The following is a 14,007-nucleotide window of genomic DNA, read 5'->3' on the forward strand; positions in this document are numbered from 1 at the left end:
TTATTATTCTCTCCAGCTAAACCTCCCTAACCTAGTTAGCCACTCCCTGCCCTTTTCCTTTAAACTCCCACGATGATTCTACCATACTTCATACAAGGTTTGGCTTTGTTTTGTTTTCACAGGACATTTATGTGTTCCAAATAACTTTTTCCTTTTTAACTAAATCAAGCAGCAAAGCACCTGGAGGGTCATTGGTTTGGGATGTTCTCTCTTCACAAATTCAGAACATAATAACCTAAGATCATAAGGATTATGATCAGTTACATAATGTCCCATTTGAAATTAGAAGTGGAACCAGACGGATGAACTGTAGATAGAGCCTGTCTTCTCTAGCACTTACACTGAGCTCTCCTGGGTGGCTTGACTACCATGATACAAAGAAAGCCCTCTGGAAGTATAAGGGAAGGAAACATTACTATAGTCTAAGGAGATATTGAAAAACAGGAAAGATAGGAGATGAAGCTGGACCTTTCAGGCTACGTAAGATTTCAAAGGGAGAAAGGCCCTCCAAGGAGATCAACACCTCAAGCAAGATGCTATAGTCAAAAATATTGGGGCCTATTTTTTAAAAAGAAATAAGTTAATCAGTGTTGCTGGAGATCAAGGTTCTGGAGTGAGGAAAGGCACAGAAGGATAAGGCTAGGTAAGTGGGCCATCACCAGATCATTTAAGACTCTGGATGGCAAACTGAGGGTAGACTTCATTCTGCAAGAAAGAGGAGCCAACAGAGACTTCACAAAATTCTCTAGAAGCATTGAGGAGAGGAAGATATTCCAATGGTAAAAGTGAGAGGTTTTGAAAACTTTAATCAGGACACTGGCTATGGAGAAGAAGAGGAGGAGGGAAAGAAACTTTGTAGGAATCAAACAAATCAAATTTAAGTAGGCTGGATATGGGGAAGTGGGAGTGAAGGACTGGTATAAAGAAGAAGAAAAAACAAAGATCAGACAATGTTTATCAAAATATTCTCCTAGTGCAAGGTCCAAGGGAGACACTCAACAAATATTCTTTGAAGTTGGTGATTCCAGGGTTTGGAGTATAAGTGACTGGTGATGATATTTCCTGGAATAAGGGAAAAATATCAGGCATTGAGAGGAAGACAACAGGGTCAGCCATGGGCATGTTGCATTTGTGGGTAGAGATGGCTAATTGGCATTGGATATACAAATCAGGTGAGAGATCTGGGAGAGAGATAAAATGGTCAGTGTTTAACATATAGATGAAACCCCCACAATAAATGAGCTCTTCCAAGAAGAATGTATAGAAGACAACAGAGGCTGGACAGCAAACATCTCCCAAGGATTTACTCTTGTCTTTGTTCTCTTCCATACATTCTTCTTGGAAAAGCACAGGCCTGGCAGAGAGCAGATACTCAGTAAACATTTGTTGAGTAATGGAATGAATAAGTTTAAGGAGAATGTAGATTGCATTTCATCAGACAAGTACACAGAGATGGGACCTTACTTTTGTTGAGCATCAGTTATCTGCCAGGTACTCACTTTACTTGTGGTTTCTCCTTTAAGAGAATGAAATAATATCACTCAAAGCTTTACAAAGCTTTAAAGTCCAGGTTTATAGTGACCTCAGCTTTTGCAATGTCTGCAACTCTCATGCCTTCCCTTGGACTCTTCCCTACCCTCAACATTTTTGTATTTAATCTCCACATAAGAAGTCAGAGCAAAATGAAACTCCTTTGAACTTGGGACACTCTTCACATTCTCTTCTGTAAAGAGAAATCCCAGATGACCAGAAACCTTGTGGTTCTTCTGGGACTGTTGCATTTGTTTCTTGAGTTTACTAATTCATCACTTTCTAAGAGCTGGCACTGTGCAACATGTGGAAAGAAGACAAGGCTCAGCCAGCGAGAAGCTCAAAATACAGTTCAAATGTGTATGTGCACACATTTTGGGAACCCAAAATCAACTGATAGAAAACTAAGGTTTCCTTGGATAGAGCCTGCAGAAAATCTCTGCACTTATGTATAGACCTGCATCACAATTGCAATGGAATCTGTAAGTAAGCACTGTGGTCTGTGGGCACACTCAGAAGAGTAGGCCTAATTCTGTCTTAGAAGCACAGGTAACGGTGGAAGATCATGGAAGTCTTCACAGAAGACAAGATATCAAAACAGAGCCTTGAAGGCTAAGTAGGTTTGTTTATTTGCTTCTTTGTTTTTCCAGATAGAAGGGGCCACATAAGCAAAGATGAAGAAACATAAAAGAGCCTCAGTGTGGATTTTTTGAAAGGTGGGACATGAAGCTGGGGCAGAATACCAGAAGGGTTTTAAATGAGTGTGGCATGATTGGATTTGTGTTTTGGGAAGACTGTTCTGGCAGCTAGTGCAGACATTGGAATCGAAAATGGAAATATGCCTGAACAGGGAGCTTGAGGCCCAGGTGCCTTCTTTTTATTCTCTTCTGCCTCCAAAGACCTGAGAAGGGCTGGATTTGAAGACTGACATGTGTAAATGCATTGAACCATTAGAAACTTTTCCCAGGAAATCTATTACGAAGTTCACCATATTTATTACATTTTAAAATACTTTTTAATATAAGCCTATCATTTGTAACAACCTATGAAATTAAACTTTTTTCTTTTTCTTTCTTCTTATGCTTTGTTTTCTTTTCTCCTGATGTTAGAATGAGAAAGAGCACTTGATGAAGAGTCTAGAAGTCTGTGTTTCAGTCCAAAACCTGCCAATAATGCTGGAAAACCTTAGAAGGTCAACAAACCCTCCTGAGGTTAAAATTCTTCACCCCTCAAAAAGACAGGGACTTTCTGAGCCTCCTGCCCCATAAGATTGTCGTCAGTTTCAGACAAGAACCAAGTTGGTAAATGCAGTTTAAAACCTACCATGAGCCAGAGCAAAGGAAGGAAGTTTCCAATTTTCTATAGATATTTCACATCAGACATCATGCAGTTTCAGTATACTTAGTTTCCTTTGATATTATCCATAGCCTTGGCCCTCAAATATTTCACATTCTTAGATTAATTTAATAATAGCCTGGTGTTGCTGCTTATGTATCCTACCATATCCACAGCCAACTATGAAGACAATAACTTTCTCACCTGAGAACTAAAGACTTACCTGGCTATAGCTCCATATTATAATCTACTTAAATTATAAATTATATGGTATCAGACCATCATCTGAACCATTTTAGATCTAAGAGATTTGCCATGTCCTCATATACTGTCTATTATAATCTGATTCTTCTTTCAGTCCACAAATATTTATTAAGCAAACACTCTGCAAAGTTCCAGCAACAGAGACACTTGGAAGTAGCTAGAAACTAGGAAATTAAGAAAGAATACACTTTATACAATGTGAATTCTAGGAGGATTTTGTGGGAAAAAAAATTTTAAGGGAAGATATGTTTTCAGAGTTTTACACTTAATTATTAAAAATTACAATGATTTTCAAAATGTATCTTTGACAGTGGAGATTATGTTTTGTCTGGTAATCGATCAGCTTTTTCTTTTAACCAACAGTTCATCTAAAACATTTTACCAAATCCAAAGATAAGAGAATTTACAGTGAAGTTTGGAGGGTAGGGAACCCAAAATCAACTGATAGGAAACTAAAGTTTCCTTGGATAGAGCCTGCATGAAATCTCTGCACTTATGTATAGACCTGCTCAGAGCAATGTCTGTGGAAATGACTTCAAAAGCTCCAAGTGCCAGAAATAACAACTGCTCTGGATCAAGTCCAGGAACAGATATTGGGACTAGAAAGAGGGATTTTCCAAAAATCTGAGTTTCATTTTTATCTATAATATTGTTGAAAAATGGAAATGCTACTATGTGAAACTCTGGCACTTTTTTGGCTATAAAAAAGCCATGTGTACAGTATGAGCTATCATGCTTTATCAAGTCTGAAGAACAGAGAAAGCCATAGGGGAACCTTATAATGGTTAATAACCTCCTAATAAAGTACATTTGTGCATTGATAAGGACTATTGAAAATTTCTAATTAATTATTAAAATCATTTGAATTTCATTTGTCTGTTAAACTAATATCACTGATCCTGAATAGCATGCTTCTGTTGGGTTCTTATCTTGAGAAAAATTTGAATTGTCTTAATATTTTGCTAGTCACATAAAGAATTCAAGTACCATATTTTCAAATTAAACTTGCTTTTGCTTAAAGTTTTTCCTCTAAAAAATACATATTCAGCTAAGTAATCTGTATTTAGGTATTTAATCTAAATCTGTATTTTATTTTAAGCAAATACAGAAAGCATCTTTTAGAAAAGTTATCATGCACTATTCCACAACATAAAATTAAATCTTTTTTCTTTGATAAATCTGATTTTACACATAATGGTTCACTCAAAAAATCAACAAGAAAAAAAAAAGATGGGAGAGAAAAGCAACCTGCTGGTGTTATAAGTAAATTTGTAAGGCAGCTAATCCATACCTCTTCAAGAATAATCCTTACCGCTTTATGGACCTGGTTTTAACAATGCTAGTGAGTTGAGTGTAGTTTACCTATTATAGTGTAATGGTAATTTTTATTTTCAATAGCTTTAAAATAAAATAGTATGATGATCCAAAAGCACATTTCTAAAAAGGATTAGCATGTTGTTGTAAGAATATGTGTTTAGGAATTGGATGGCTAAACTATATGATCTTCTTGTAGGGCTTCAGAGAAAAGATTAGTTTATTTATATTTCCAGCAGCAAGACAGACTCAATACCCTGAATGATTCTACCTATAAATACCACTGAAACAGCTAGACAAAATACTTTATTTATTTCCAAGCTCATTTTATTTTATTTCACATAATTTTTATTTAAAAATATTTAATTGACAAAGATGGAATCTTTCCAAGGTGCAAAACATAATGATTTGATATATGTATACATTGTGTAATAATTACAATCAAATTAATTAACACATTCATCAACACCCATGACTTTTTCAAAATGAATAGCTGAACTAACAAAAAAGTCAGAGTTCTTCGGAGGAAAACAAAAACAAAAACACCTTGGGAATTAAGTGAATACCAAAGTTGGCTAAAGAAAATCACAAAAGTACTAGAAGAAAACATGGGTGACTTTCACTTTAACTTCAGTTAGGGAAAGGTTTTCTAACTATGACCTGAAATTCAGAGGCAATAAAAGTAGGAGAAAATATTTGTAACAAGTATCGCAGATAAAGGACTAATATCTCTAGCTTAAAAAAAAATTCAAAAGTCGAGAGAAAAAAAAAAGACCAAAAAGTCTTAGAAAAATGAGCAAAACACCGACAATTCACAGAGCTACGAAAATGACCTCAAACCATAAGAAAGGATGTTTACCCTCACTCATAGTAAGAGAAATGCAAATGAAAACTATACCGAGATACCATTTCTTACTCAATAGATTTGCAAACATTCAAAAGTGTGACAATGAACTCTGTTGGTAAGACTGTGGGAAACAGGACGTTTTGTACTTTGCTGTTGGATCTGCAAAATGGGATAGATCCCATATGTAGGGGAATTTGGCAAGTTCTAACAAAACTGCATATGCACTTATTCTTCAACTCAGAAATACCTTTGCTAGAAATTTACCTAGGGGACATATCTCCAATGACACAGAAATTTATATGCACAATGCTACCCATGGTAACATCATTTATCATTGAAAACTGTTGGAAACTACCTACATGTCAAAGCAAAGGAGATTGATTGCATACACACAGCAGAGTACTGTGCAGCTATGAAAAAGGAATAAGGATGATCTCTATGAACTGTTATGGAGTGACTTTTAGGAAACAATAATTTAAAAAAGCAAAGTGCTAAGGAGTACATACAGTATGCCTAGATTATACTAGTGTATACTTACATCTGGAACAGATATATATAAGACTATATATAGTATGCTATATAGTTTTGTGAAAGGATGAAAGGAAAATAAGAAAAGGTACATATAACTACTTATCATTACAAAAAAGAAATACAAGATGGATTAACCAGAAAATAGTAACCAGTTAGAGGTAGGGAAAATGGAGTGTAAATGGGAAGAAAGGGAGTGAAACTTCCTTGATTTTTGAAAGTGTGTCATTATTCTTCAAATATAAGAATAAGGTTAAGTTAATAAGAATAGGAATGGAGCAGCCAACATCATACTGAATGGCCAAAAGCTGGAAGTCTTCCTCTTGAAAACTGGAACAAGACAAGGATGCCCTCTTTCACCACTCCTATTCAACACAGTACTCAGAATCCTAGACAGAGGAATCAGGCAAGTGAAAGAAATAAAAGGCATCCAAATAGGAAAAGAGGAAGTCAAAGTATCTCTGTTTGCAGATGATATAATTCTACAGCTAGAAAACTTAATAATCTCTGCCCATAAGCTCCTTGATCTGATACACAAATTCAGCAAAGTTTCAGGATGCAAAATTAACATAAAAAATCGGTAGCATTCCTGTAAACCAACAACATCTAAGCTGAGAAACAAATCAAGAAAGCAATCCCATTCATAATAACCACAAAAAGAATAAAATACCTGGGAATACAGTTAACCAAGAAGGTGAAAGACCGCTACAACAAGAATTACAAAACACTGCCTCAGAGATGACACAAACAAATGGAAAAACATTCCATGCTCATGGATAGGAAAAATCAATAGTGTCACAGTGACCATACTGCCCAAAGCAATTTACAGATTCAATGCTATTCCTATCAATCTACCAATTGAATTGTTCACAGAATTAGAAAAAAAACTATTTTAAAATTCATATGGAACCAGAAAAAACTTGAATAGCCAAGGCAATCGTAGGCAAAAAGAACAAAGTTGGAGGCATCACATTACATGACTTCAAACTATACTGCAAAGCTACAATAACCAAAACAGCATGATACTTGTACAAAAACAGACACACAGACCAATGGAACAAAATAGAGAAATAATGCTGCACACCTACAACTACCTGATCTTTGACAATATTCACCAGAAAAAGCAATGGGGAAAGGACTCTTTATTCAATACATGGTGCTGGGATAACTGGCTAGTCACATGCAGAAGATTGAAGCTGGACCCCTTCCCTACACCATATACAAAAATTGACTCAAGATGGATTAAAGACCTAAATCTAAAATTGAAAACTATTAAAACCCTAGAAGATAATTTGGGAAATTCCTGGCAAATACTTCATGATAAAAACACCAAAGCAATTGTGACAAAAACAAACATCGACAAACAGGACCTAACTAAACCTAAGAGCTTCTGCACAGCAAAAGAAACTATCAACAGAATAAACAGACAACCTAACAGAATGGGAGAAAATATTTGCAAACTATGCATCTGACAAAAGGTCTAATATCCGGAATCTATAAGGAACTTAAATTTGCAAGCCAAAACCAAACAACCGTATTAAAAAGTGGGCAAAGAACATGAGCAGACAGTTTTTAAAGAACCACATTCAAGTGGCCAACAAGTATATGGAAAAAATGCTCAACATTACTAATCATTGGAGAAATGCAAATCAAAACCACAGTAAGATACCATCTCAAACCACTCAGAAGGGCTATTACTAAAAAGTCAAAAAATAACAGATGCTGTCGAGGTTGTGGAGAAAAGGGAATGCTTCTGCACTGCTGGTGAAAATGTAAATTAGTTCAGTCATCACGGAAAGCAGTTTGGCGATTTCTCAAAGAACTTAAAACAGAATTACCATTGGACACAGCAATCCCACTTTGGTTTATATACCCAAAGGAATATAAATCATTGTACCACAAAGACACATGCATGCATATATTCATCACAGCACTAGTCACAATAGCAAAGACATAGAAACAACCTAAATGCCCATCAATTATAAACTGGATAAAGAAAATGTGGTACATATAGACCATGAAATACTGTGCAGCCATAAAGAAGAATGAGATTATGTCCTTTGCAACAACATGGAAGGAGCTGGAGGCCATTATCCTAGGCAGACTAATGCAGGAACAGAAAACCAAATACTGCATGTTCTCACTTATAAGTGGAAGCTAAACATTGAGCTGAGTGTGGAAGAGATGGGGAGAAGTGCAAATAAATTCTTAACTCTTCACAGTAGATTTCTTCATTGTAGTGCTATAGGCAAAGCAAATTTGGAACTATCTCAAATGTGTTATCCTAAACGTATTATGGATCAAATGAGTAAATATGCTAATGTTGTTGGCAAACAGAGTTCTCACTATAGAGGGAGAGAATAACAAATATGAGATGGGGGAAGGCAAGAAAACATCTTGTGGGTGTGGGTTGGAATTGGAGGTTTCAGTTTGAACTTAAGATTTCTAAAATACTTGTATGTAATTGTATATGCATGTTTACATTTGTATGTATGTGTATGTGTGTGTACATACACCCATATATTTCCTAGCTCTGTCCACTGAAAGGACCAGTAGGGATGAGCATACCTTTCCACCCATTCCTTGGTTTCTGATACCATTTCCCACTGAAAGGAACCAGGGCTCTTTGGAGAAATGATTGATTCTAAGACAGGTACAAGATAAGCCTGAAACAACTTGTTAAACCAGAAAGTCAGAAGCTGAAAAGTCTTATGGGAATATGTGCCAACAACACAAGAGCCAGCTTAAAGGGGCATCCCACTAGCCAAATGTGGGACAAATTGATCTTCCAAATAATTAGCTGCAGTAATTCTAAACCATTAAAAAATAGGATTTCATGCATTTATTACAATAATATATAAACAAATAGGCAAGAGAAAGGGAGGTCTTTTGCTTACAGTAGAATACCAGGGAGCTACTGGTAAATGTCAGTGCAGTCCTGGATAAGAAATTATTATTTTATAACCATCATGGTAAAGAATCATCAATGGATAGCAAACTCAGAGAGAAATTTTAATGAGGAACAGGATATTTGCATTGTTCTTCAAGATGCTTATCATTGGAAGAGAGGGAAAAAAACAATCACGCCATTGAAATATTGGGGAAGACCTTAACCAGCTGATCAAAATTAATGACACCAATGAAGAACAGATGGACATTGTGTATATCCAGATATGATCCCATGAGAAGGACACAACATCACTTATCCAGTGTTCCAGATAAAATTCACAATCTCAAATTAATAATGGGAGAAAATAGACAAATACAAAATGAAGAATGCACTGTTAAAAAAAACTGGGGGCAGTCTGTAATCTTCAAAAATGTCAATGTTATGAAATATAAAGAAAGGCTATAGAAATGTTCCAGATTAAGAAGCTTAGAAAGATATAACAACAAAATGCAATACTTTCCCCTAGACTAGATATTGTTTTGGAGGGGCAAAATGCTTTAAAGGAAATTACTCAATTAACTAACAAAATTGGAATACTAATGGAAGCATAAATAAAAGTGTGGATGTAAATTTACAAAGTTGACCATTGTCAACTGTGGTTATGCAAGGGAATACCCCTATTAGTGGGAAGTACATACTAACTATGTAATAGTAAAAAGACTATGGTGCATGTAATGTGATGTAATGATTCAGGAAAAGAATAATGTATATAAGCAGAGAAGGAAAAGAGAGAGAAATCCAGTGGGATAAAACGTTAATAATAGGTGTATTAGGTTGAATAATGTCCTCTAAGAATTCATATCCTCCTCAGAATGTGACTTTATTGGGAAACACAGTTGTTGCAAATGTAATTAAGTTAAGATGAGGTCATACTGGAGTAGAGTAGGCTTTTTTTTCCTTTTCCTTTTTCTTTTTTTTTTAAATTTTTTTATACAGGTTCTTGTTCGTTGCCCAGGCTGGAGTGCAGTGGCACGATCACAGCTCAGCCTCCATCTCCCAGGTTCAAGCAATCCTCTCATCTCAGCCTCCTGAGTAGCTGGGACCACAGGTACACTCCACCATGCCCAGCTAATTTTTAAAAAAATATTTTTTGTAGAGACAGGATCTCCCAATGTTGCCCAGGCTGGTCCTGAACTCCTGGCTCAAGTGGTCCTCCCACCTTGGCCTCCAAAAAGTGCTAGGATTACAAGTGTGAGTGACCACACCCGGCTAGAGTGGACTCTTAATGCAATATGACTGATATCCTTATAAGGAAAGAAGAGGAGATACGGAGACAGACATACACAGAGGGAAGACAATGTGAAGAGACATACAAGAACATGTGATGATGGAGGTAGAGATCAGAGAGATGTGTCCACAAGCCAAGGAATCCCAAGAATTGCTGGCAACATCAGAAGCTAGGAGAGCACACAGCAGATTCTCCTTTGGAGTCTTCAGAAACAGCATGGCCCCATACACCTTGATTTTGGACATCTAGCCTAGACAATTGTGAGAGAATAAATTTATGTTGTTTTAAGCTCCCCAGTTTGTGGTAATTTGTTATAGCAACCCTAGGAAATTAATATAAAAGGCAAGTCTGAGTGAGTGAAGTTTATACAGGCTATACCTTGTACTATTTTTATTTTTTGCAACTTTTTGTAAGTTTGAAAGTATTTCCAAATAAAATGTTTTTAAAAGAGTGTAAAAACAAACAACACAAATGAAACACAGGGCTTCTAAGAATCTTACAAGCATTGTCCCAGTGTAGTCTCCCACCATCACACCCAGCTAATTTTTGCATTTTTAGTAGAGGCGGGGTTTCACCATGTTGGCCAGGCCAGTCTTGAACCCCTGACCTCATGATCCTGCCTCGGTGTCCCAAAGTGCTGAGATTACAGGTCTGAGCCACCACGCCTGGCCCTGAAAACCATTCTTAACTCATAAGCCATATAACAATAGCAGTGAGCTGGATTTGGCCCATGGCTGCAGTTTGGCAGCCTCTGGCCTGCAGTATTTTCCCTCCACCCTTTGAGAGAAGCTCCCCTAGAGGCAGCAGTCAATGTCCCAGGTACATTGTAGGGAGAGCAAGTGGAGGTGGCAGGGCCAGGGCGAGACAGCTGTGGTTGTGGTTTCCTCCCACGTGGCCCCTCCTTCTGAAGGTTCTGAGAGGCCTTTGAGTGCATTTGGGGTGATTTGACTCACACTGAGGAGGATGAGTTGAGAAAGGGAGAGGCCAGAGGCATAAAGATGGTTTATGTGGCTGCTAATATGGAGGTAGCCAGGTAAGAGACAAAGTCTAAACTAGGATGAGGCCACAAGGATGGGAACAGATTTGAGAGATACTCTTCATCGCTGCAAATGCATAAATTAGTTACAGTGCTCTCTTCTGGAGTCTTATTATCTTGTTTCACAAATGCCTGATGTCTTTTTTCATATCACCTGTAAAAGTAACCAGAATACTGGGCACTTAGGTGTCAGTAATGCTATGAAGATATCTGGTCTGCTAAGTGTTGGTGTTAAAAAAAATTACAGATGTGTATATATACATGATATATATGTACATATATGTATATATATGTGTATATATTATAGATGGATCTATATGCATATATAGATTATGTGTATATATATACACATATCTGCATATATACACACACTATCTATATCTATACACACACATAAAATTTGCCATTTTAATCATTTCAGATGTACAACTCGGTGACATTAATGACATTCACAATGCTATGCAACCATCACCACTATTTTTTTCTTAAACTTTTTCATCGCCCCAAACAAAAACTGTACCCATTGAGCAATAACTGATTTCTCCTGCCCCCAGCCCTGAATAACCTTAAATCTACTTCCCATCTCTATGAATTTGCCTACTCTAGATATTTCATATAAGCATAATCATACAATATTTGTCATTTTGCTTCTGGCTGATTTCACTTAGCATAGTGTTGTCAAGGCTCATTCATGCAGCAGCATGTATCAGAGCTGCAGTATTTTTATGGCAGAATAATATTCCATTGTATGCATATTCTACATTTTGTTTATGCGTTCATCTATTGATAGACACTAGGGTTGTTCTCACCTTTTGCTTATCGTGCATAATGCTATTCTGGACATTGACGTACAACTATCCGTTTTAGTCCCCACTTTTAATTATTTTGCGATATATACCTGTGAGTGGAATTGCTGGATCAGTGGTGGTAATTCTCTGTTTAATTTTCTTCAGGAACCACCAAATGGTTTTCCAGAGTTCTAGCATGATTTTACATTCCCACCAGCAATGCACAAGAGTTCTAGTTTCTCTCCATTCTCACAGATGCTTGTTATGTTATTTTTCTTAATGTTATAGACATCCTAGTAGGGGTGAGGTGGTACCTCACTGTGATTTGTATTTGTATTTTCCTGATGACTAATGTTGCTGAGCATATTTTCATGTGCTGATTGGCCATTTGTGTATCTTCTTTGGAGAAATGTCAACTCAGGTCCTATGCTCATTTTTCCATTGGTGTGTTTGTCTTCTTATTGTTGAGTTGTAGGAGTTCTTTGTATATTCCAAAAATTAACCCCTTATTAGATTTATAATTTGTAAATATTTTCTCTCATTCTGTGGATCGCCTTTTCATTCTGTTGAGAGTATCCTAAGTTTTAACTTTTAATGAGGTCCAATATATCTACTTTTCTTTTGTTGTCTATGTGAGTGTTGGTTTTGATCTTTAGTATGACTATTTGTTGATGTTGGATAAGCAGTGTGGGTTTGTGTTGCTGAACATTTAAATCTCTGAGTAACTCTGTTCCCATGGCTAGAGTAGAAAAACCTGTTTAATGGAGGTGGGTCCAGGGTACAGATATCCGCTCTGGGTGGCAGAGGAAGTCTTCAGAGAGAGCTCAGATGTCTCCTTGGTCTCATCAAGAAATGCTCTTTGGAACCATTATTTGTTTAATCAGAGTCTGAGATAGTCTCAGTTTATCTAGGTGGCTGACCAAATTATAAGTGAAAATTATATTAAGCTTGTTTTAAATCTCTTTTGATATTCCCTCTTACTCTCTGCTTTTTACCTTCTCAGAGATACATGTGCCCAAAGAGAATGAACAATGGCTGGTTTCTCTTTTACTCTTCATCAGTTAAATTTAATCTTCTAACCACCTTAACTTCAACTAAAACTACTGTTTTCTGTATCATCAAGAGGGCATCATGTGGATTGTATAACCAGCGATGTCTTGTCAGCCGAATTGTTCTTAGTATTCTAATGCCTATGACATGCATAACATCACCAGTTATACATACCATTATGGTTAGTTTTTCTTTCCAGAGATAAACTTTGTGTTTCTGTTATTTTTCATCTTTTACTCTTCAGGGATAATAAGTGTGGACCATAAAGCACAGAAATTTTGTGCCTGTATGTAGGGGTGTGTGTGTGTGTGTGTGTGTGTGTGTGTGTGTGTGCGCGCGCGCATTCAGGTGAAAGCATTTTAACTTTGTGGATACAGGTGGATTCTCCAAGTAATCCAGATACCAAAAGACATCTTTACCCTTTCTGGACTTAAAAAATAATTTCTTGCCATGTCTAGGAAGCAAAAGCATACACCTAGAGTACATCCAAACACCTATGAAAAGATCTGAGGGCCAATTCCAAATACTCTTCCTTTCAGAGTAGATTTGAAGCTGGTGGAATCTGCCAGTCTAGTGACTTAATCAATATAAAAGCTAAAAGGCAAACTTGATAATGATCCTCATGATTTCACTACATTCGTATTCCTACACAAGTGACATCAACTTGGAAGAAATGGTCTGAAAGAGCAGAGTTGGGAAAATATTTAAACAAGTCATCAGTCCTGCCACCTCAACACTGTGGCACCTTGACTGAACATTTGGAAGTACAAGAAACAAGTCGTAAACTTCTGTACCCTGGGCATGACAGCTGACACGAGAAGATGCAGGGCAGCCTCACCAAGCCACCACAGCTGCTTCTAAGGGTGTGTTTCCAGCCTCTCTGGGAGGAGGATACATGGAGCCTGAGGAGCCTGTGCAGACATTTATCAACAGGAAGGGAACAGAAAATGGGAAAAGATGGGTACAGGAGTAAAATGCTGCCAACCACAGGTTTGTTCAAGGTGGGGTCTGATGAAGAAGGAGAAAGAAGGAAGAATAGTGCTTCTCTTTCTAGAGTCACCCAGATACAAATGAATGTGGATGTAAATAAGTGGAGTAGGAGAATACACAAATTCTGCTCTACACATCGTACCTCTT

At 37.0% G+C, this 14,007-nt stretch overlaps 1 long non-coding RNA gene across 1 annotated transcript, besides 1 other annotated feature; it reads left to right on the top strand.

The window, feature by feature from the left end:
• The first annotated feature begins 2,071 nt into the window (after positions 1-2,071).
• LINC02850 (long intergenic non-protein coding RNA 2850) lies at positions 2,072-3,950 on the top strand. Its single transcript, NR_187137.1, has 2 exons — positions 2,072-2,246; positions 2,640-3,950. It is a non-coding gene; the product is annotated as a long intergenic non-protein coding RNA 2850 (long non-coding RNA).
• Positions 10,759-10,848: an enhancer, noted in NCBI's record as "active region_15408". NCBI's record gives its function as "activates an Ori minimal core promoter by ATAC-STARR-seq in GM12878 lymphoblastoid cells {active_cell/tissue: GM12878}" and the evidence as "EXISTENCE:reporter gene assay evidence [ECO:0000049][PMID:35858748]".

This window comes from Homo sapiens, chromosome 2 (assembly GCF_000001405.40).
Source record: "Homo sapiens chromosome 2, GRCh38.p14 Primary Assembly".
Lineage (NCBI taxonomy): Eukaryota > Metazoa > Chordata > Mammalia > Primates > Hominidae > Homo > Homo sapiens.